This window comes from Homo sapiens, chromosome 1 (assembly GCF_000001405.40).
Source record: "Homo sapiens chromosome 1, GRCh38.p14 Primary Assembly".
Classification (NCBI taxonomy): domain Eukaryota; kingdom Metazoa; phylum Chordata; class Mammalia; order Primates; family Hominidae; genus Homo; species Homo sapiens.
Window position 1 is genome coordinate 205,950,725 of NC_000001.11, and position 24,881 is coordinate 205,975,605.

Genomic DNA, 24,881 nt, shown 5'->3' on the forward strand with positions numbered 1-24,881 from the left:
AAACTTCCCTGAGCTCTTGGCCTCCTCATCTGCAAGATGTGGGTACCAGCAGCACCTACCTCAGAGTGACTTTGGGAATATTAAACAAAGTAATGCATGAAAAGCACTTAGCTCAAGGTCTAACACTTCTCAGCCCCAGAGGGCCCAGCCCACTAACACTGCCCTTTCTCTATGCCCTCTCCCCATCCAGCTTGGATGGAATGCTCTCCCTTCTTGCCTCGGCTTCAGCACTTCAGCTAAAGCCACATCTCCCTGATGACTGCCGTGTGCTCTGGTTGTACCCACACTCCCACAGCACTCTCAGGTGGTAACTGCAGTTAGATACTTGACCACATGTTGTCAGGGATTTGGCTCTAATGGGAGGCTTCATTCCTGGAGCATAAGATTTGGGATGTTTGCTTGTTTTGTCTCCTTTGCGGACCAAAACATACTAAGCATTTTAACAAGAGTGCTTACCTGTTGACTGAACGTCCCATCCTGAGTCCTGCCCCTGGGCAATTAGAATAACCATAATTTATTGTGGTTGTAGTTATGCTCTTTGGAGATCCAAGGGTTCCAAAGATGTGCTTCAGTTGCAGCCACACCCCACCAGCTGGTGAGCTCATGTGATTGCGACTTACCCACATTTTGCTGGCTTGTGTCCCCTCCCTCTGACTCAGAGCTCGTGTCCTTCCTCAGCTATAGTTTGCCGTGGTTATGCTTGGGAGTCTCTGGGGTGTCTCTGGGTAGACTCTTCTGCTCCAGACTTGTTCTTACTGTCTCTTGCCCATGGGTCATGAAGACAGGGTCCCTCCTGAGAATTCTGCTCTCCTGCTCTGGTGCCATGTGCCGGAGCTCCAACCCTTGAGGGCCCAGCATCTCAGGGCACACTATGACCAGCTGCCACATCATGTACCATGCAGAAGTGTGGGTCGTGGCATCTCTCCAATCTGTGTCACACTGTGTTGTCCCAACCCTGATGGTGCTATGGTGCAGACTGCTAGCTATCCACCGTCAGAGACTGCATTGTGGTAGGACACGTGGTGGCCAAGTGGGACTCTACTTTCCAGCCTTCCTTGTAATGAGGTGTGGCCATGTGGCTGAGTCTTCACTGGACTGTGGAATGGAGAATGAGGCCGGCCACTTACAGGTCTGGGTCTTGAGTTGTTGGGCATGCTTCCTGCATGCCCTCTCCTCTTCCTGCCAGCTGGAGCCTAGATGTGGTGGGGACCCAGATTTCACTATGCATGATAACAATGGCCTGGCAAGTGGGAAAGCAACAGGGGGAAGGAACCTGGGCCTGTGAATGACCTCAGGAAGCTGAGAATGCCAGCAGCCAGGACTGCTCACTTTGAGACTCACTAGTGTCCCAAGAAGAGAAAAACTCCTATATTCTGTAATCTACTGTATTGAGGTTCTCTTTATAATGGGACATTAGTCTTTAACACACACATGGGTCCTGAGTCTCATTAAGTCCCTGGTGAGAACAGCTCTTTCTGCTTCTGCTGTAGTCCTGCACCGTCCCCCCAACCCCCTCTCTAAGGGCTGGATGGAACCCAAGGGCCTAGCTGGGGAAAGAGGTCATAGAAGCCCATTTCCTGAGTTCTTCTCTGCACCAAGGGATTTGATCACAGGGACTCTTCCTTTCCTGTAAATAGAGGTCTGGAGGACCTTTGATTCACTAGCTCATCAGACCTACCCAGACTCTGGATTCTAGTATAGGGTCTTCCAGGTCACCTAGCCCTGTGCATCTTTAACAATGGAAGCTTGGTAATTAATGCCCCAGCATAAGTTAAGCCTCATTGGATGAGGGCATAGTCTTCCTGCTTGGCTCACCTCTGTCTCCTGCTTAGAGTGAGAAGAGAAAGCAAGCATTGGAGGTCTTTTGGATCAGGAAAGAACCCTGTGGGTTTAGTAACTTCCAGGCCCCTCTTATTGTCTCTTATAGTAAGCAGGTGATAGATGAAGTTGTGCTACTAATCGAGGTTAAGAAAAAATAGTGCTTTAATAGTTCCTTGCATTTGTAGGGCACTTAGAGTTTATAGAGTGCTTTAGTATGCATTATCTGAAGCTATTTATCCCCATTTTGCATATGTGGAGACTGAGGATCCGTTACCCCCACCTAGGATATGCCCAAGCTTGGGTTAGCTCTCAGGGTTCCTGACTTCTAGCCTTGTGCTCTTATTTCTATACACTGCCAGGCTGAAAAATGATGGTTTGTGACTTACACTCAGGAAGTTGTGAACATTGAGGATGGCTTCGAGAAGAGGGAATTGTGTTGACTTTGGGGGAGACATTTCACCAACTGAGGTCTCAGTTTCTTCTTCTGTAAATGTGAAAGACATGCCGGCCTCTCCCAGACCAAGTAGAGAGTTTGTTGTTGTCACATACCTGGTTCCTATTCCAATTCCTGCCCTTACTCTAAGACTGTAAGGTAAATTGTTCTGTGGGCTTAGATTTGTCTGAGGAAGTTGGGGTTTGGGGAGGAAGAGGTGTCCTGGGGCTGCTGCTTCCAGATGGATTAACCCAAGGTGAACCACACTAGGCTGTCCTCTGGGTGGAGAAGTGTCATCTGAGACAAGTCCTTAGCCCAGGGAGACTGGGGTGGGGGTGGGGTGGGGACTTGCTCTTTCACCTCAAGTAGCCCAGCCACACCAGGTGCCTGGGTGGAGTGTAGGATAAAGGGCCAGTAGGGAAGAAAGGTTGGTTTGACCCTAGTGCACCTGATTTTGCTGCCCCACCAATTACACAAACACAGCCCTGCACACCTGACATGAGCACACCCAGATCAAGAACCACAGACCCCAAGCCCCAGGCCCCTCAGCTTCTATAGAAAAGCAGCATGCAGGATTCAGGTTAGACACAAAGGAAAGCTTCCCAGGGTATGGGTATTAGATCAGAGACTGGATGGTGTGGAATATTCTGAAGGGTGTATGATAGTTTCTATAAACATAAAAAAAATGCTTATCCTCTGGTGAAGGGGGTGGGGGTGGGGCTGGTAGAGACAGTTCAAGTGGACTTGCCTAGAAGTAGCTGGATGAATAATGTGTAAAACCTTACTGGTGAAAGCCTTCAAGCCCAGGCAGAAAGAAAAGCAATGAAAGAATGAAGCAAGAGGCACATAGGAAATATACCCCTTGCTTATGTCTATGCCTGGGAGTGGGAGAGAAAGAGCATTCTTGGCTTTGAATACAGAGAAGGGGGGCTACTTGCCTGCTGGGCAAGTGGTTACCTGGGAAGCAGGACCCTTTGGCTCTCAGAACAGTGAAGTGGTGGGGGGTCTGTGAGATGCAGATTTCCATGTGTCTGGCGGTCCAGTGACATCTACAGCAGTTATTGGGACTGCCCAAGCAAATGAACACAGGGGATAGTGTGAGAAGGAAGCCAGGGAGGAGAGCTACAGAACAGCTGCTGGCCTCTGCTCCACCAAAGCAAACAAACCAAGGCCTTGGGAGAGGAGCTGAGAGGGTCCTACGGAGGTAGGATGATTCTCTGCCCCTAATTCTTCCTATCTCCACATTTTATCATGAAAAATTTTTCTCCAACATATAGAAAAGTTGAAAGACTTCTATGATGAACATCGTATACCCACCACTTAGAGTCTTCCCTTAACATTTTGTTCTGTGTTGCAGAACACATATCTACCCAACTACCCATTCCTCTATCCATCCATCGATCCCTTGTATTTTTGGAAGCATTTCAAAGCACGGTGCAGACATCAGTAGCCATTTAGGCCAATACTTCAGCATCATATCATTAACAAAGTTCAATATTTGTCACAGTTATTTTTTTCTATGGAGATAAGTTTTACATACAAGGAAATGCACAATTCTCCAATGTGCCATACATGAGTTCTGACAAACGCCTACACCTGTGCATCTCAAATCCTTATCAAGGTGCGGAACATGAGGATGACTCCAGAAAGCTCCCCCATGCCCAATAAATCCCTGCCCCATCCCCAAGCGACAACTGTTCTGATTGTTTTTTTTTCTACCAGATTTAGTTTTGCCTGTTCTATGACTTCATCCATATACATGAAATCATACAATATGTACTTGGGTGAAGGTTTCTTCCCTCAGCATAATGACTCCTGCAGTCTTTGGCAAAGAGTCTGCTTTATAAAAAGCCAGACTTTTCTTTTTTTTTTAACCACCAAAAATCATGTCCCCAAATCTAATCTTCATTAAGTCTAGGGAAGCTGTGTTTACAAGGGCATGGTCAACACCCCAGAGCACTCATACTGTTTGTCCTTGATCACCTGAACATAAACAGGGCTGAGCCAAGAGACATCTGTGAGCTGGGCTGTTTTTCAGTTCCCAGCCTCCTGTTTCTGCTACTAACTGCTCTTTAGGGCACCACCTGCCCCCAGCCCCATGGGCTATTCCCACTCCAGGCAATAGGGCTCTGCCTTCTTCATGCCCTCCTCCCCCTCCCTAACAAAACCAGAAGGATCTGCTCCCAGCCATTTACACTAGATGACTGATAGTCCCGGTTACACTGTAACTGTACCGCCTTCCACTGAGGTGTTGCCTCTACAGGGTATTGACTTGGGTTTGTCTCCAAATGCGACCCGATAGGCTCCGCAGCCCTGCGCCTCTTGGACTTCCCCCGAGGCTCATCTAAGAACAGGGAGCCGTGGCTGTGTCTCCACAGGAACGCAAAGGTGCAACTCAGCGGCACTCAGTGGGCGCAGCTTCATTCTTAGACACAACCCATAGACAAAGTGCAGAAGACTTAAAACTGTGATGATATAAAAGTAATGCTGTGGCTCACAGAAACCTGGAGGAGGGGCAGAGGATATAGATTCCCACATCCCTCCCAGAGGCGGGGTGATAGGCTTTATCTAGAGCTGATGCATTAATAATAAGAAATAAGGAAAGGAAGGAAGGAAGAAAAGAAGCAAGGAAGGAAGAAAGGAAGGAAGGAAGAAAGGAAGGAAGGAAGAAAGGAAGGAAGGAAAGGAGGGAAGGAAAATAGATAGATAGATAGATAGATAGATAGATAGATAGATAGATAGATTTATTTAAAGATATTGAAAGTCCCAAAGGCAGCAACCAGAAGACCCAAAATAACAAAAATTAGGAAAAGGGAGAGGAGAGGTTGGAACAGTTTCAGGAGATGTGTCATTGAAGAATTATATATTACCTCAAAAGTGCATGTAAGCTGGGTACAGTGGCTCATGCCTGTAATCCCAGATACACAGGAGGCAGAGGTGAGAGGATCACTTGATGCTGGGAGTTTGAGACCAGCCTGGGCAACCTAGCAAGACTGCCTTTCTTTCTCTCTTTCTCTTTCTTTCTCCCTTCCTTTTCTTTCCTTCCTTCCTTTCTTCCTTCCTTTCTTCCTTCCTTTCTTTCTTTCCTTCTTTCTTCTCTTTCTTTATACAGGGTCTCACTAAATTGTCTGGGCTGATCTCGAACTCCTGGGCTCAAGAGATCTGCTCCCCTCGGCCTCTCAAAGTGAGCCACTGTGCCCAACTGATCCTGTCTTTAATTAAACAAAGTGCATGTGGATGAGGCATCCACTCCCCACTATGCCCAAGTTTATCTGTGATACGAAAGCAGTTCTCCCCTCCCCACCTTCGAGTAAAACCGAGGCCCTAGGTTCTGTGTCACAGTTTTCCCTTCACTTGGAGTTCCCTGACCCACCATGGCATGGCTTAGCGGGAGAGGCACAGCTTTTGGCAAAGGCATTTTAGGCACTGATGGGAAATGACAAATGGTATATGTGGCCTGAGGGACCCAGAAAATTGCTCTTAGTCCATCCTGCTGGTCCCGAAGGGAAACCCTAGTTGTTCCTTTTATCAGGGCTTTGGTTGGAAGAGGGGGTGTTCCTCCTCCCCAAATGGCCTCTGCCCCTGGGGAGGCTGACTGAGCCACAGGAAGCTTGCTTCTGAAGCAACTCAGAGTGAAGGGGTTCTGGTTCTTTCTTCACTGGCTCTCTTGGCGTCAGGAGGCCACCAGAAATGGGCACAGAGCTACCTGCTGCCAGCCTGTTCCCTCCAGTCCTTCCCTTCCAGACCTAGGCTCCCTTCTCCCTCCTGCCCTAACCCTGTGGTTGTTCCTCCAGCCCCCATCTTCATCTTAACCACAGTTAGGTTTATCTGACTTGGCTGTATTTCAGAACCTTCTGGAGGAGTTTTTAAAAATACAGATTCTTAGGCCTTATCCCAAGAAATTCAGGTTGACTGTGCCTCGGTGGGACCTGGTTGTGAGCATTGTGTAAAAGCTCCTCAGCCGCTTCAAGCACACAGCTAGGTCAGCGGAGCCCTGCCTTACCCCCAACCCTGCCTTCTTTCCCCACTTGCCTCCCAAATATGTGTTCTGTGTTTTCTGGCACACATGACATGACTTTGATTGGTAATTGATGATTTTCCACATCATCACTTTTAAAATCAGATACTCTCTGAAACGTCCCTCTGTCTGCCTACTGTTTCTACCTCGTCCATGAGGCCCATCATCTTTATCAGCAGTGTCACTGTAGAAGACTCATCCCTGTCTCCCAGAGCTGCTCCTAACCTCTTGAGGCTCTAGAAGGCAGCCCTGAGCTGGCAGAGAGTGCAGCTCTACATTTTTCTAGCCAATAGCAAAATGGTCACACTGGGGCCTGGCTCCATGTGCGTCTCGGTCTCAGCCCCAAGTCAAGCCCCTCTTCCTCTGAACAACTGGATTCTTCCAATCTTTTTTTGGGGAGACTCTCCACAGTCCCCAAGGTGAGAAGAAAGTATTGGTTATGTACATCAGCCAGAACCCCTAGCTTGTCCGCAGGCACTGTATTTCCTTACTGAGCTCATATTAAGCAGTGGAACTGATAATACCATCTCGGCCTGTGACTTCCACGCATGAAAATATGCACCAACGAACCTGCATTAAATGGTTGGGAAATCACCCCTCCTAACCATTCCACGGCATCCACTGTAGGAAAAAAGAAAAAAAAAAAAAAAAAAGAAAAGCGGGAGACTGAACAAACAAGCTTTAGGATGAAGATGATAACCCCAAAACAAAATTCCAAGCACCAGTGAAGAAGAGGTTATTCTGAATTGGGGATAGTGTTGTCACTCCTCAAATTGCAGCCATTTCCTATGGGACACACTGAATGGAGAAGAAACTAAATGTGTGTGTGTTTGAATGACACACCTGAGTTACAGTTTGCTAGTTATTTCTGCCTCCTCTGGCAAAGGACAAATAGAGGATTTTCTAGAGAAAAATGATGGAAGTCCGAAGGAGTCATCACTAGGTGCTTTGTCCTTTTTGTATTCTAGTTGCACCCACCTCTTGGATTGGATATAGCAATAACATTTATTGGCCGTTGTGAGCTCTTGATCCCAGTCATTACCCCTGAGAACTAAAAATAGATGGTTCTTAATTCAACTTACTGAAAATTTCCCCAAACAATAGCAAATCTGACTTTTCCCTCTTCAGTTGCCTGGTATTAAGGTTGGATAAATGAAGCATGCACAGCTACAGGCTTTCTACTTAACTTCTGGGTTTGCTATTACAAATCCTATTTACTCTCATACCCTTCTCCTTAGTCCTTCATATTTCTCTGCCTCTATTCTTCTATACTGCAGATTTTTCTCACCTATTGTACAAAGAAATTGCGATGTATATTTTCATGTAATTTGATTTTGGAATTCTGTCACCTTATGTAGTGAGTTCTTCCAAAATATAATTTTTTTTCAATAAAAAAAAAAAAAAAAAAAAAAAAAAGAAAAATGATGGAAGTCTGTAAAAACTCATTTGAAAGGTCAAGATTTTTTTTTTTTTTTGCAAATGACCTTGTTCAAAGAGCTTCAGGCATTTTGTCCTTTAGCAGTCCAGCCCAGGTCCAGGCTGGAGAGTGAGATGGTGAAAAAAGTCAGAGGTCAAGAAAGACAGCCCAGTTAGAAACCCCTGATGCTGCTGGTGGGAACCACCTCTCAGCCTCACTCTAGCATGACTCCTGCCCAAAGGAAGATGAGAGTTTTAGCTTGGGATCGGGCGGCGGGCAACCAGAACCCCAAAGATCTGCTTACTCCCTGGAGCTTTAGCTAGAAGACATCAGTTTGAACTGACTGACATCTCCCCCCAGCCCCCTGGGTCTGCCCTGCAGCTTCCCAGGAAAGGAATCGCCCAATTAATGAACACCCCAGGCCACTGCCTGGAGGCTGGTGTCAACCTGCTGCTTCCCTGGGTCCAGAGACTTGTGACAGCTCTCTGGCTTTTCTCCTCCACTCCCAGCAGTACCGCCTCCAATTTTCTGTTCCCAAACATCACGCTTCTCAAAGTTCCATCATACAGAGAATGCTCTTTATTAGTTATATATTTTTCTGCTTATGAAAGTAATTTTTTGCCCACTATAAAAATTCAAACAAGATAGTAGTGTGCAAATAAAAAAGCACGTCTAAATAATCTCATTTTCCTCAGATAATCCGCCTTAGCAGTTGGGTGTACACCCTTTCAGATCTTTCTCTTAAGTGTGTACAAACAGCTTAATGTGCCAAGCTGTTTGTTTCCCCACACCTTTGACCATACTGTCTGCCCTGCTTCCTGGAATGCCCTTTCTTCTCTTTTGCCAGGCTGACTTCTGCACAGCCTTCTGAACTTAGCAAACTTTCTCTTTCTGTCGTCCCCCAGCCTGGAACAGGTACCTTCCCCTGGGCTCCTTGACCCCTTGCACAGCGCTGTCATAGCACCCAGCACAATGAGTGATCAACTCCTCTCTGTTTAACCATCTGTCTCCCCGACTAGAATATAGTATAGGTTAGTGGCCAAGAGGTGGGGGCCAAGGTGGACCCCAGTTCCCTCCCTAGGTGCCCCAGCCCCTCTGGCTCTGTCTGACTGTCCCATTCACTTTAGCATCCTCAGTGTCTAGCACACTGCCTAGCACATGGTTGGTGCTCAACAGGTATTTGTTGAATGAGTGAGTGAGTGAATAAGTTCTGGGTCACCACAGGTGTCCCCACCATGGGGCTCTTATATACAGGTAGAGAGCTGCAGAGAGGGGCAACCACCCAAAAGCAGAAGAGCTCCATGTTGCTGAGCCCCAAAAGTTGCCAGTAACTTACACTAGCTGTGTAACCTTGAGGGAAGTCCTCTCAGGATGCAATGAGAATAAGAATTTATAAAGTGAGGCTCCCTCCTACCTCCCACCGTGGCTACACTCCCACTCCCACTTAGGAGGCAAAGAGGCCCTTTCCTCAAGCCCAGTGAAACACTAAGAGCTCAGGTCTCTAATAAAGCTTGGCATGCTTGGCTCCCAGAGGCAGAACTCCAGACGTACCTGCTGTGTGACCTTAGGCAGGTGCCATAACCACTCTGAGCCTCCTCCTGCAACAGGAAAATTAGAATGCACTCAGTAATACCTATGTCACAGGTTAGGGAGGAAGACTAAATTAAGTGTGAACGTTGGAGGCTCTGTCAATTCCATAGCTGTTTGTTCTACCTCCCCCCAACCCCAGGCGGTTCAAAGTAAGATCAGGGTTCTAGAAACCTGGACTTTAGCTCTGCCCCTCAGCCCAGGAGACTATGGGTGCATCTGTGCTGTTTCCTCATCTGTAACATGGAGCCAGGAGTGTTGGACAAGATGGTTCCGAAGGCCCCTTCCAGCCTCTCACATTCGAAGTGCTCTGAAAAGTAAAATGTTCTGCAAAGTGCCCCAAGTCCTTGGGCTATCATTTGGTTGTGAGAAAATAGGCTCTGCCAGTGGCCAGCTCTCTCGCACCATAGCCCCTGCCAGTCAGAACTGGGAACACGGAGACTGGCAGGCCACCAGCTGGAACACCCCTGACCCTGGATTTCTGTGTTGGGGACTGTGACACTACCTGATGCTGCTCCTTCCCAGTCCCCAGCAAGGGACAGATGTGAGGACAGTTTGTGTTGTGCGTCTTTTGACTTTTTTGGAATGTGATTTTGCTTTTGGGCAGTGTGGGGTCTAGTTGGGGAGGGAACACTGATGGGTGACCCTGATGTGGGGAGTACTCATTGAGCACTGCAGTCTGCAGGGGCTCTTGAGGGCTGGGGTTGAGCTGGGCTTTGAAAGGTGCTTATGATTTGGGTATGTTAGAGGGAGGGTGTGTTGTGGGGGGGTTGAGAGTTGGGTGTCCGAGGGCCAGTGGCAAGGCCAGGCTGGCTGAGGCTGAGTAGGCAGTGTCTATTCAACAGAGCAGGCATTGGATCGATCAAGCACTCCTCTTCTGGAGACTACCGGATACCACACAGAGGGGGGACAATGGTTGAAGACACCTTTATCTGGTGTCTCAAAGCTGAACTTATGGTAGAAACATAGTGATTATTCAAAGTGAGGGTTTTATACTAGGGGCCTCCACATGGCTTGTCTCATTCATCCTCATAGGGAGGCAGGGATTATGAGCCCCACTTTATAAATGAAAATCCTGGGGCCCAGGAATGCCAGTCGCCTGCCCCAGATCACAGGCCTAGTTAGCAGCAGAGCCAGAATCCCCAGCCCAGGACTCTGCACTTGAAGTTCTGAATACGAGGGTGTCTGGAACTCCCAGGAGCTTCTCTGGGGTGAGGGTGGGTAGGCAGCAGGCTTGCACAGAGACTGATTGAATCTAGAGGTTAGGGCTACAGGACTGGGGTGGAGTCTCCCCTGGATGGGGTGAAGAAGCAGTAGGGGAGAGTTTGCTGCTCTTCTTCGGGCTGGGGGAGGCTCAGGAGCCTTGAGCTGGGCTATCAAGTTCAGGGCTGGAGTGACTCCTGAGAAAGGGAGGCAGAGATGAGAGGGGCAACTGGACAGGCTAACAGATCCTCACTCAGGCTGGAGGTCAGCCACCACCTGCCCTTCTCCCCCCTTGATCCAGCAGCTAGACTTCTTCATCAACAAGAAAGCCAGTCTTTGCTGGTTTGGGGCCTGGGACCACGTGAAACATCGTGTCACTGAAGAAGCTGGGGCCAGGCCAGGCTGTGTCATTTCTTTTCTTCTCTGGGACTTTCCTACCCCTCCCTCCTCTGGCTTCCTGCTGTTCTGGGCCCAGAGCTGGGGGATGGTGGGAGAGAGTTTCACTCTCTTCAGTGGCCAGATCCAAGGTCCTGACCCTGCCTCTCCATCTGCCTCCTGTCTGATGTAGGCAGGATCTGTCCTCCTTGCAGGATCCATCTACCAAAAGACCAAATACCTTTGGTCTTTTGGGAAGGTGGTCCGGGAGCAGTGTTCCTGGACTGTCAGCATCCTCTGGGGAGCTTGTGAAGAATGGGCTGGCTGGACCTCATTCCAGGTTGAATGTTGGGGAATGGAACCCAGGAATCCACATTCTCACAAGCTCCCCCAGGAGTTCTTAGGAACAGTAAAGCCTAGATCCACCACATGAGATCATCTCTCCATCCCCTGGCTGGGGAGAGACTGCTCTCCCAGGATGCCAGGAGGGAGTGTGGGTTGGTGGCAGTAAGATAAGACTGGTTGAATGAGCAGAGTTTCAGAAACAGGCGGGAAGGCATTCCCCTGGCTGGATGCCCTTGAAGCAGAAAATTGCTTTCTTACCTCCTGGTCAGCCACTCCCATGCCACCCCCACCTCAGACTTCTTCACACGAGAGCCCTCTCCCTCTGGCAGAGCCAACCAGGAACGCGGAGGTTCAGGTTCAAAGAGGAAATCTGAGGAAGGGCTTGGAGATGGGCCAAGGCGAGAGCGAAGGAAGTGATGAAAGATATTTTTAGGATTACTTCTTCCAAAAAAGGCTGAGGAGGCACCTTATCACCATCCAAGAACTGGGAGAGGCTTATTTATTAGAGTCTTGACCAAGCAACTGGAGATTAAATGACAGCTGAAAGGACTCAGGTGAGAGGAGAGGAAGGGACCTGTGAGATACTGATATGGGTCCAGGAGGGAGCTGTGGACGCTCCCAGCCCGGTGTTTTTGGAGGACAGTTCGTTAGTTCATTCAGTTGCTCCTCAAAGGTGTTTTATTGTCTACTATGTGCCTGGCACTTGCTCAGTACAGGGAACAGAGCCATGAACAAGGGACACCTGATTCCTCCTTCATGAGCTGAAGGTCAGGGAGAGTGTCCTGTCTGTCTGGAAAGCCTTATTCTTGTCCCTGTCCACAGGCAGATACCTGGGTGGCATACACAGGTGTGGTTCTTGCTCAAACAGCCTGGCATGGCTTGGATCCCCAAGGGGAATTGGGAGGTGGGATAAGCCTCTGCCAGCGTTCCTGGGTGGGAGTGGGAAGTTGTGCCTGGCAGGCTGGATGCCCTTCTGTGGAGTCACTCTCCTTCCTGTGGGTGCCCCCTCCCCTGCCAACTGCCTCTCACTTTGTGCAGGGACATATCTAGAAGGCCAACTGCAGCCAGCTCTCAAGGATGTCACCTCCCTTCCACAGCAGCCTCCTATGTGACTAAAAGGCTGTGAGACAGCCATGCTGAGCAGCCCAGGCTGCCACCCAAGCTCTGACGTCCTGCTGGGGAAAGCTCCATTTCAGAGCGGGTGCCCCAGCCTGGCTTGCCAGGCCTGCAAGGAACCCTCCTCAACCCCGTGGCTGCTGGAGCTGCCTCGGCCCTGCTTTTCCCCGGCTGGACATCTGGTTTTCAGATGCCTCTTTTCATCACTGGGGTCCTCAGCTCACTTCAGGTGCCTCTCGGAGAGCCTGGTGGGGGTCAGGGAATTGTTTCTGCTTTGCCGTCTGTCTCTCAATATATCTGCCATCCCACTATTTATTTTTTGAGGGTTTCTATAGCCCAGCATTTCCAAGGGGGTAAGAGGAGCGCAGGAGAAGCCTCTGCTGCAGCCTCTCAGGGTGACCTGGATTTGTACATATGGCGCAATGATTCAAGCCCCAAATGATTCATTCTTTCAAGCCCCAAACCACAGGGAAATGGGAGTAGAACCCCGGGCACCCCAGGTCTGTGTCTGACTCCCATTCCTGAGTCACTGGTGACCTCTGGTAAGTTCCAGAACCTCTCCGGATTCTCCCTCTGTAAAATGGGAGGGTGATTTCTGTGATTCCCAGAACCAAGACAGGATGAGTAAAGGGGCGGGTGGGAATGATGGACTGGTTCACTGAGCACCTGTTATGTGCTGGGAGCGGTGCTGAGTACTTTATACAGTGGATCTCATTTAATCTTCTTAGCAGCCCTATGCAGTAGCACTGTTATTATTTCTACTTTATAGAAGAGGAAACTGAGGGGAGGGGAAATGAGTAACTTGCCCAGCAGTGAGTTGGAGTCGGCTCCCGGACTGTTGGACCAGGCTCCTTACTGGCAGTGACCAGGAGAGAGGAAGGGCAGGCAGGGGATTGTGGCCAGCGGCTCCCAGGCCCCAGGGTTGCCGCTGGAAGTTCCCGGGCCCAGAGATGCCACCTCTTCCCTCAGGCCTGGAAACAGGACCCCCATGTCCTCTGCCGCCCAGCGCTTGCTACAGAGTGGCCAACGGTTGCCTGCCAGAAAACACCTCTGTTTCTTCTCTCGCCCCAAACCGAGGTCTGTAACATCCCCTCCACATAACCATGCTCACACACCTCAGCTCCACACAACCCCTTTGCTGTTTTCAGAGCATTCTCCCGCTCCGTCTTTCAATGCTGTTCTTCCCATTTGCCAGATGAGGGGACTGAGGCCTGGGTTGGTTCAGAGACTCACCCAAGGCCACATGGTTGGTGGACTTTCATCCCAGCCTGCCCTTCACCAAACTGAGGTGTCCATATGGAAGGCCATGAAAGATTCTCGACCCTTCTCCCAGGGCCTTTCATGACCTAACACCCCTTGAGTCAGAATTCTGAGGACTCCAGGATGAGGCACAGCCCATACTTGCTAAATTCATTCAGTCATTCATTTATTCAGTCATATTTATCTGCCATGTTTAGGAGTTGTGTCAGAGGTTTTCGGCACGAAAATGCCTAGAGCTCAGAGGCTGGGATGAGGAAAGCAGAAAGTGAGTAGGCCGTTAAAATACCAGATGTGAGTGCTGAGGAGGAACACCTCAATTTGGGAGGCAAGGATGGCTTCCTAGAGGAGATGATGAGGTGAAGTCTAGGCTGAGACCTGAAAGATGAATAAAACTGGTCCCTGAAAATTAGGCAGGGAGTGGGAAGGAGGGATGTTTGGGGCACAGCAAACAGCATTCGTGAAGCCCTGATTGCAGGGGAGCTCAGCACACCTGCTGCTGCTTACTCAGCTCCAGTCCAGGCTTCCTCGCCATTGATCTTTGCATCTCCCAACTACTTGTGACCCCCGCCCACCCAATGGGCAATGGGCACATCCCCTCCAATGGGCAAACCATGGTGTGGGCATCATGGCATCTGCTCTGTCCACTGCCTTGGCACAGAGATGCCTCATCTGAATGTGGATCATCTCCTTCCGGGGGTAACTGGAGAAGAAGCAGCAGGTGAGGCGGCAGGTACAGTAGCGAGGAACATCCTGCTATTGGCTCTGTCCTGGAGACCGGCGGAAAGCCTTTGTCCCAGCGGCCTATAATGGGTTTCAGGAGAGAGCTTCAATATTTGCTGCAAACAGAAGCACAAAGGATGTGGAGGGCTATTGTGGGTTCTCTAAAGAGGAGCTAATCCTCCGGCAAGCAGCCCAGCCAGAAGGGGTTCAAGTGCTGGGTAGGCCAGCCACTGGGGGTGTTGTCATTTACGAGCAACTGCAGGAGATAATAGCGCCCAGGGAGACAACCTCTACACAGGTGGAGGGAGGTAGTGAGAGACACTCCCCACAGGAGGGCGGGTGAAGGGGGACAGCACCTGTCCTGAAAGCTCGGGAGCACAGGTGATGTTCCCCATACCCCCACGCACCCCAAGCCCCACGGCTGGGCCACCGCTCTCTCCAGGCCTGGCCTGTCTTGGCAGCTGTTCCTTCACTGGGGGTCATTTGTGTCTGGGGGTGGGAATGGGGGTAGGGGTCAGCCAGGGCTCTCAGGCCTCTCTCCCCTCTCCCTCCCTCTGGCTTTCTCTCCTGGCCTCTTTTTGGTCCACTGCACACAGACAAGTCATTTCTTGGCTCCAGGGGGCCAAGGAGAGGGAAACGTTATATTTGCATATCATTAGCATAAAGAGATTGTATTTGCATGACATCTATTTTCAGCTCCTCCCTCCTCCAAATCTGCCCCATCATCTCTAAATATGCTACATAAATGTCTTGTCCAGTCACCAGCACAAGGGAGTTGTGAGGGGTGGAGGGCTGTTGGGAAAGGGGTTTTCTTGTGGTCAGAGTGGAGTGAAGTAGAGCCCAAGGGAGAAATTGCAATCCCAGGAGTGGGAGAGATTGGAAAACTCAACTCTTCAAGCTTTGTGTTAGCACAAGGAGCTCGGTCAGGATCCCTCACTTTCAGACACCTCCAGGGGTGCAAAATGATGGGTTTGGAAAGAAGAGGGAGAAATGTGATTATTTACATAAATTTACATAATTTAATGTAATTCGCATGGGCAGAATTACTCAGTTTTTCAGACAGTTTTTAATTCAATCTTTTTGTTGCCTAAAGGCTCCTTCTTTCTTTGAGTTTTGTTTCCTTTGCTTCTGGTCAGCTTCCTAAGACGCAGATCTGCCTCCTCTCCAGGAGGGAGAAGTGGACTGGGTAGCAGCATGGTGCAGGGGGTGGGGAGGTGAAAATGGGCAGTGTAGACAGCTGAGGTCTCTGCCAGGTCCTGGCAATTCCACCTCCCTCCTCCACCATTCCACCCAGGATGCCCCAAAGATCCTCAGGTCTGGCATGTTCTCCTTAAGCCCACCCTGTGGGCTCTAATTTCCACTCACAGATGTGTGGGAGTGGAGCAGGGATGAGGGTGGTTTATCTGTTCATTTCTCATAGGGCAGCCAAAGCCACCCAGAAAGCCTGACTCTCAGGCCACATTTTGGCAGAGACCGACCTGCATCTAGAAATCAAAAGCCTTGCCCCCGAGGACAAGACACTGTCTTAAGAAGCATCCTCCGAGCCTCTCAACAGACACCCTGCCCCAAGCAGTTGCGAAGGGCCCCTCTTCTTCCAGGTTATGGGCCTTCTCTTTCCTTGGGTGGGAAGAGAAGGGGGAAGAAAACTGATCCTTCTCATAACAGAAGCCTGGAAGTCTACTTAGTGATTTCCATTGACAGCCAATTATGATTGTGTATAAGATAAAGGAGGCGGCCGGGCGCGGTGGCTCACGCCTGTAATCCCAGCACTTTGGGAGGCCGAGGCGGGCGGATCACGAGGTCAGGAGATCGAGACCATCCCGGCTAAAACGGTGAAACCCCGTCTCTACTAAAAATACAAAAAATTAGCCGGGCGTAGTGGCGGGCGCCTGTAGTCCCAGCTACTCGGGAGGCTGAGGCAGGAGAATGGCGTGAACCCGGGAGGCGGAGCTTGCAGTGAGCCGAGATCCCGCCACTGCACTCCAGCCTGGGCGACAGAGCGAGACTCCGTCTCAAAAAAAAAAAAAAAAAAAAAAAGATAAAGGAGGCTGGATTCAGCTGAAGCTAAGCTGAAGGGAAACACCTGCAAGTGCCATTTGCTGGCTGAATACCTTTTTCTGCTCCCAGCCTACTTCTACCTTCTCTAGCCCCTTCTTTTTCACTCTTCTCTCTTGTCTCCTAAACAAGTTTTTTGGAAAACATTGTTATAATAATTATTAGCAGGCTCTAATGTTATTTCAATAATTCATAATTGTTCCAAAACAGACCTCAGATCACATCGCTCTACTACCTGGAAAGCTTCAGTGGCTGCCTCCATGCCTGTCCCGGTCTGTCAGGGCCTGTATAGTGTGGACGCACCTTCCTCTCACTGCACCTCTTACCTCTGTCTCCCTTTCTTGGGACTCTCCAGGTGCACAGGCCGCCTTCTGCTTAGAGAACTTTCCCAACTCGTTCACACCTCAGCCCTTCCTCCCGGGTGTCTCGAAGGTCTACCAGCTCCTTGTCACTGCTCAGGGCTCAGCTCTGATGTCCCTTCCTCAGACAGGCCTTCCCCTACCTCCCAGCCTAGGTAGTCCCTTCCTGTGGATCAGACCCGTGCCCACCTTATTTACGTGATAACTTGTTTGTCCTATTTTTCACATGGACAGAGAACTCACCTGCTATCTCCATCTCTGTGTCTCCAGTACCTGGCAAAGCACCAAGAGCATGGTAGGTGCTCAAGCCAGATTTGCTGACTGGACAAGTGTGGATGAGTAGGGGGTTCGTGACAGATGGTGGATTTTGGAGCCTGTTCTGACTGTGTTTTTTTCGCTCACTGGTGAATGGCCATGGGCAGATTTCTCAGCTCTCTGGGCCTCCATTTCTCCCTTGGGACCTGGATAATAATAACTTCTACACTGAAGGTTAATTTCAGCATTGTACATAAGTGTCTGGTGGTAATTGGCACTATTAGGGACTCATTAAATCGTGATTATTAATACGAATAATGATACCTTTGTTTCACACTTACTCTGTACCAGGATCTGGTCCTGCCCTCAAATATTTAGTTTATTGGATGACACAGAGACCTGCCTGGCCTATTATGAAACAAGGGTGACTGTAGCTTAGAGGTATGAACAAAGCACCGTAGGAACAAAGAGGCAAGAGCAGTGAATGTACAACCTCTTCACGAGAATAGAGTTTTACGGTTTATATCCTATATGCACCTCTATAGTTCATTTGATTGCCCCCTAAACCTTTAAAGGAGGCAGGGCAGGCCTCAGTATCTACATTGTGTAATAGGAGAGCAGAGGTTCAAAGAGAAGACACCGTGGGCTCAAGGTCTCACTGTAGCCCCTCGCTCTGCTTTATTCATCTTCCACAGCATTGAATCCTCTGGACACCTTGTGTAATTGCTGGAATGCAAGCTCTGTGACAGCCTGTTTTGTTCACTGCTCCATGCCCAGCCCCTAGAACAGTACTGGCACATAGTAAGCACTCAGTAAGTGTATGTGGAATGAATGAATGAAGGACAGAATTAGTGAGTGGCAGAGCTAGGCTCAAACTTCTCAAGCAGGAGGGAGAAAAGCTAGTTAAGGGGACCAGTTTCTGGAGCTGGGCTGTTTGGGCTTGGATCTCAGCTTTGCCGCATAATAACTGTGCAACTTGGACAAGTTACTTAACTTCTCTGCGCCCCACTTTCCTCATCTGCCTAATGGGAATGATAATATAACACCTAGCTCATAAGAATATTGTGACAACTACCATGAGTTAACATTCATAAAGTGCTCAGAACATGTCTGGTACATAATATGCCTCAACACTTAAAGAGAAAATACTAGGTATCTTGACTCTAAATCCAGTATTCTTTCTCTGTACCAGGTTATAAAGAACTTTATAGTTTCAAAATCACCAATATATTCAAGGCTTTATTTTATCTTTTCAGCATCCTTGTGAAGTAAGCAATAAATCATTACTATTGCTATTTTACAGAGGAGAAAGTGGAATGAAGCTGGAAATGATAGGTCTGGCTTAAGGTCAAACAGAGGCTTTATTGTCTGACTTCAAATATACTTCTCTATCCATGATTCTGCAGGTAATCTCATTCCCCAGATCTAGCCTGAAAGAAAACAAACAAACAAGCCAAAGGGGGAAAGAAATCAGAGCCTAGCAGAGATTCTCAGACGGCCTAAAAGAAGGCCTATTTTCAGGGTTTGGAAATCCATTTAATTTCCTCTAATCATAGGCTGTCCTAAATAAGACCAAAGTTGCTGAGGGACTTTAAGGTCAAGGGAAACTCCTATAGATTCAAGAGGGACCAACCCAAGCCTGCAAACGTCTGGGGAGATACCTGCCAACTGGTGGCCTTTCCTTCCAACGAGCAGCTGCCTTCATGAGGAGCAGCGGGTAGGCCCAGAACGTGCCAGGTGCTGTGGGGGCAGGAAGACACGGCGAGTTCGTCCCGAAGGGATCTTTTGTCCAGTTTGGAGGGTGGAGGCAGAATCTTCATGGGGCTAAGCTCATCCACTACCTGCTTCCAGAGACTTTAAGTAGGTGTAAGAATTGGATTTTAAATTTTATTTTAAGTGACCCCAGTGCTAACCAGATGATTTAAGTTCCAGAGGGCATTCAAAGGAGGAGATGTAGAGGTAGTAAAAGAATTTTTGAATTCTTTTGTTTGCTCACTCATTTATTCACTCAGCTCTCATTTATCGTGTCCTTAGCCTACAATGGGGAATCCCAGAGTCCAAATGCCCGAATTCACAAATAGATTGTAAAAAATGCATTGAGTATCTACCATGTGCCGGGCACGTTTCATACATAAGTAGGGTGCTTCGAGGGAAGTATCATCATCCTGGTGAGATAAGGGAGACTCAGAGGCTAAATGACATGCCCAAGGTCACTCGACTATGGAAAAGTCAGTATTCATACCCAGGCCTGCCTGACTCCAAGCTCAGGCTATGGTTTAGATCTTTACGCTGGAATATTTGAGTCATAAAAAAGAATATGTGTTGGCCGGGCACGGTGGCTCACGCCTGTAATCCCAGCACTTTGGGAGGCCAAAGCAGGTGGAACACCTGAGGTCAGGAGTTTGAGACCAGCCTGGCCAACGTAGTGAAACCCCGTCTCTACTAAAAATACAAAAAATTTAGCCAGGTATGGTGGCGCATGCCTGTAATCCCAGCTACTCGGGAGACTGAGGCAGGAGAATCCCTTGAACCCAGGAGGTGGAGGTTGCAGTGAGCCGAGATCGCACCACTGCACTCCAGCCTGGGCAACAGAGCAAGACTCTGTCTCGGGGAATAAAAAAAAAAGAAAAAGAATATGTGTTAACACACAGCTAAGATAGAAAGTATGATAATGAAATGACTGACAGTGATCAAGGAATAAACCGTTTCCAACAAGGCCTGTCACAGTGTGTGCCTCACCCCTACTGCACTCCCCCGTTTCTCCTACCACCCCCACTCCAAGGTGACCGCTATCTAAATCCCAGTTTCATCATTCCCTTGCTATGTTTTTGGTTGTTTTAACCATGTGTTTCTGATAAACATGTGTGAAGACAACCCTTCAGTTTTGTTTTGTTTTGAACTTTATGTCAGTGTTTTGTGATGTCTTCTGCAGCTTGCTTTGCATCTTCCACAGGCTTCTGAGATTCACCCAGCTGATATATGTGGCTTCAGTTTATTCATTTCCACTGCTGTGAAATTCCATTGTTTGAACACTGTGTCATATTTTATGTATCCAATTTCCTGTAGAAGGACGTCTAGGTCATTTTCAGTTGTGGTTTTTTGTTTTGTTTTGTTTTGCTATTACAAACAATGCTACAAAGAAAATTCTTCATCTTGTCTTCTGATGCACCTGACAGGGTTATATGGGTTCAGGGGTGGGCTTGTAGGGTTGCAGGGCTTGTTTGTGCTATATTTTTACTCAAGACAGCTCCAAAGTAGTTGTACCATTTTCCTTACAGCTTATAAGCTGGAGGAGAGTCTTCTGAGGGGCCACTGTTGAGCTTAGGAAAGGGAGCTCCAAAGTGTTGACTACCTAGCAAACCTCGAGATTAACCTTGAGAACCATCTGCCCTAAGAATGGTAATTTAATATGGTAATCCATGGAGCAGTGCACAGACTTGATAGTTTATCTCCAGAGCTGAGCCTCTGAGGTTGGAAACACTTGCAGTTATTGACCAACGTCCCAGGAGAAAACTGGCCTCCTAACTGACACAGGAGAACCAAGAACAATCGTGGCCATCTCACCTGACCTGCGAGACTTGGCATCTTTGCCAGAGCATGTGAGCTTGTGGGATTTTTAATGCATGTCCTTCTCTTGCAGCGGAATCTAAATTTGTCAGCCTTGGATTCAAGGGCATGTGATGTGACTGACTGGAGGCACCTAGATCCTGGCTGGGATTCCACCCCTCTCCCTGCTTGTTCTTCCTCCTTCTCACTCCCTTGCCTTCTACTAATATTTATGTCCTTCTTTTACATTTTTGATTGGGTAATGCATTCAAAGAGCTGGAAGTTCAAAGTATAAAACTATATGAGGGAAAGTCTTGTTCCCACTACTCACTCCCACTTGCCTGCTCCCTTTTATTGAAGGTCATCACTTTTGTTGTATGTCCTTCTAGAATAGGGTTTTGTTTTGTTTTTGGTGTGTGTTATTTCTTACAGGGTCTCACTCTGTTGCCCAGGCTGGAGTGCAGTGGTGCAGTCACGGATCACTGCAGCTTGGAACTCCTGGGCTCAAGCCATCCTCCGGCCTCAACCTCCTGAGTAGCTGGGACTACAGGTGAGCACCACCAGGCCTGGCTACTTTTTTATATTTTTTGTTTTGCTTTGCTTTTTGTAGACATGGGGTTTTGTCATATTGCCCAGGCTGGTCTCAAACTCTTGGGCTCAACTGATCCACTGGCCTTGGCCTGCCAAAATGCTGGGATTACAGGCATGAGCCACTGTGCCTGGCCAAGTTTTTAAAATTATGAGCAAATATGAATATACAGTCTTATTAAAGCCCCCTGTTACAGGAAAGATAGCATACTATACATATGATTCTACCATTGCCTTTTCTCATAAAGAGGTATCTTAGATGTCTAGTCCATATCATCATAATAAACATTTCATTATTCTTTTTAAATAGCTGCGTTAATTTTCTATTCTATTCCACCAATATTTCTCACTTACTGTGCACCAATCTCTTTGCTGGGTGCTGGGGTCAAAATGATGAATCAAAAGAGGTCCTGCCTTCAAGGAGACTACAGCCTAAGGGCAAATAGACAAACAATTATGATGAACTATCGCAGGAGCTATTCATTCCAAAAATATGAAGTACCAACTGCTTGTCAAGCATTGCTCTTGGCAGAGGGGAGATGACAGAAAACAAAACCCATGAAAATCCCTGCCCCGTGGCGCTTCTGTCCTAGCAGAGCTCATGCTCTAGCACTGTGATAAGGGAGAGTAGGGGGTGGGCACATGGTGGGGCCCCTAACCCGGTCTGGGGGTCAGGGAAGGCTACCTGGAGGAAATAGGTGGACCGAGAGATAATGAGGGTGGTGTTGGCAGGACTTGGTTGGATTTGACCGGGAGGGAGAGGAAGCCTCAGTCCTCTCATCTAAAATGAGGCAAATGACCCCGTCCCTGGGCTCCTCTGAGACTCTGATACAAGTAAGGCTCAGGGCAGTGGTGCTGTCCAGACCCATCCCTTCATCTGCTGCGGTGCTGCCCCCACCTTACCCCTCAGCCATGGTGTCCGTACTCCAGCAGGCACTCTGCCTTCCTGCCTTCTCAGCCCACTCCCCACCCCATCACACACACACACACAACACACACCACACACACACCACATGCACACACCGCATACCACACCGCACACCACACACACACATCACACCATGCATACACACACACCCATCACACCGCACACCGCATACACACACACACTACACTACTCCCCACACATACACCCCCACACACATACACACACCATATACCACACCGCACATCACACACACACAACATGCATACACACACCCATCACACCACACACCACATACACACACACTACACCACACATGCACACACCACATTCCACACCGCACACCACACACACACACCATATGCATACCCCACATACCACACTGCACACCACACACACAGCACACCATGCACACACACACACCCTTCACACCGCACACCACACACACACTACTCCACACAAACACCACAAATGCACACACCACATTTCACACCGCACACCACACACACAAAACACACACACCACACATGCACACACCACATTCCACACCACACACCACACATACACACACACATAACACACATGCACACACCACATACCACACCACACACACACATCACACCATGCATACACACACCCCTCACACTGCACACCACAAACACACACACTACACCACACACACCACACATGTACACGCCACATCACACACCACATACACATACACACTCCTCACTGCACACCACACACACTACACCACACACATACACACACCTGCACACACCACATACTGCACCGCACACCACACACACATCATACCACACATACACACAAACCCCTCACACTGCACACTACATACACACATACACACTACACCACACACACACACTACATACCACACCACACACCACAAACATTCACACCATGCATACACCCTTCACACCACATACACACACACTACATCACACACACACCACACATGCACACACCACATACCACACCGCACACCACACACACAATTACACCTCTCATACACACACACCCCTCACACTGCACACCACACAACATACCACACGTGCACACACAACATACCACACCCTACACCACACACACACATTACAACACAAATACCACACACACCCCACACACCACACTACGCACCACACACATATGCACACATATACGCACAAACACACACACCACATACACACATATTACACCATACACACTACACATGCACACACCATATACCGCACACATATGTGCACACATACACCCCACACACCACATACACACACATTACACCACACATACCACACACACATTACACCACACACCCACACACCCTCCATACACATCCCCCACACCACACACACATTACACCACACATACCACACACACATCACACACACCACATACTACGCACAGGCACACACCACACCACATACATCACATACATACACACATCACACTACACCACACATGCAAACGTACATACACCACACCACATATGCACATGCACACCACATACATGGGCACATCACACCACACATGCATGTATCCACACACCACATACACACCCCTCCACACACACACCACACACCACACATGCAAACACAGCACACCCACCCACACCCACCCACACTCACACACACAGACCCCACCCACACCACACGACGAACACCACACACCACAAACATACCATTCACACACAACACAGACATCATGCACACCACACATCATACATACACCACACACACCACACATACACACACATCATATGCACACACCACATACCACACACATGCACACACACGCACATACACAGACACTCCACACCTCATACATACACACACCACACCACACACACAACACACTCCACATGCACACACCACATACACACACACTACACCACACATACCACACACACACCCCACACACCCCTACACACCACACCACATATGGACATACCACATACCACACTGCACACCACATACACACACATTACACCACACATACTATACACACACAACACACTACACATACACACACCACATACCACACACACGTGCACACATACATACATACACCTCACACCACACACCACATACACACACATTACACCACACATACTACCCCCACACCCTTCACACACAACAGAAACGTACACACACATTACATCACACATACCACACACAGCACTCACACCACAAACATACCACACACACCACACATGCACACGCCACATACTACACACATGCACACACACACCTTACACACCACTTACATACACATCACAGTACATACAGCACACATGCACACATACATACACACCACACATCATACACATGCACACCACATACATATGCACATCACACCACACACACCACACATGCACATACCCACACACCACATACACACCACACACATCACACCACACACATCACACATGCCACCTACACCCACCCACCCACACCCTCATTCACAGACCCCACCAATACACACCACATACAAACACACATCATACACACATACCACACACACCGCAAACGCACAGCATACTGTACACACAGAACATATACATCACACATACCACACACCATACACATACCACACACACACACAGACACATCAAAGACACACACATACCACATACCACCCACCCTCCACACACAACACACACCACCCTCAGACACGTACACAATCTTGGTACGGGCCATTGACCCTCTGCAGGAGTTCAACTTCCTGCCTAGCCTGGCCCATCCCCATCGCACCTAGGGAGCCTCCCGGAGTGCGCACAGCCCACTGTCACGGCTAGGCTGCCACACACCTCTCAGCCAGTCCGGTGTCACTGCCGGCGT

At 48.8% G+C, this 24,881-nt stretch overlaps 2 long non-coding RNA genes across 3 annotated transcripts in view; both read left to right on the forward strand.

The window, feature by feature from the left end:
- Positions 1-24,881, forward strand: part of SLC26A9-AS1 (SLC26A9 and RAB7B antisense RNA 1) — a 43,183-nt gene that overhangs the window by 15,812 nt on the left and 2,490 nt on the right. For both annotated transcript variants that reach the window (NR_110984.1, NR_110983.1), the window contains exon 3: positions 20,963-21,060. This is a non-coding gene — a long non-coding RNA (SLC26A9 and RAB7B antisense RNA 1). The remainder of the gene's footprint in view (positions 1-20,962; positions 21,061-24,881) is intronic.
- On the forward strand, positions 7,201-7,664 carry LOC103021295 (uncharacterized). Its single transcript, NR_110982.2, has one exon. It is a non-coding gene; the product is annotated as an uncharacterized LOC103021295 (long non-coding RNA).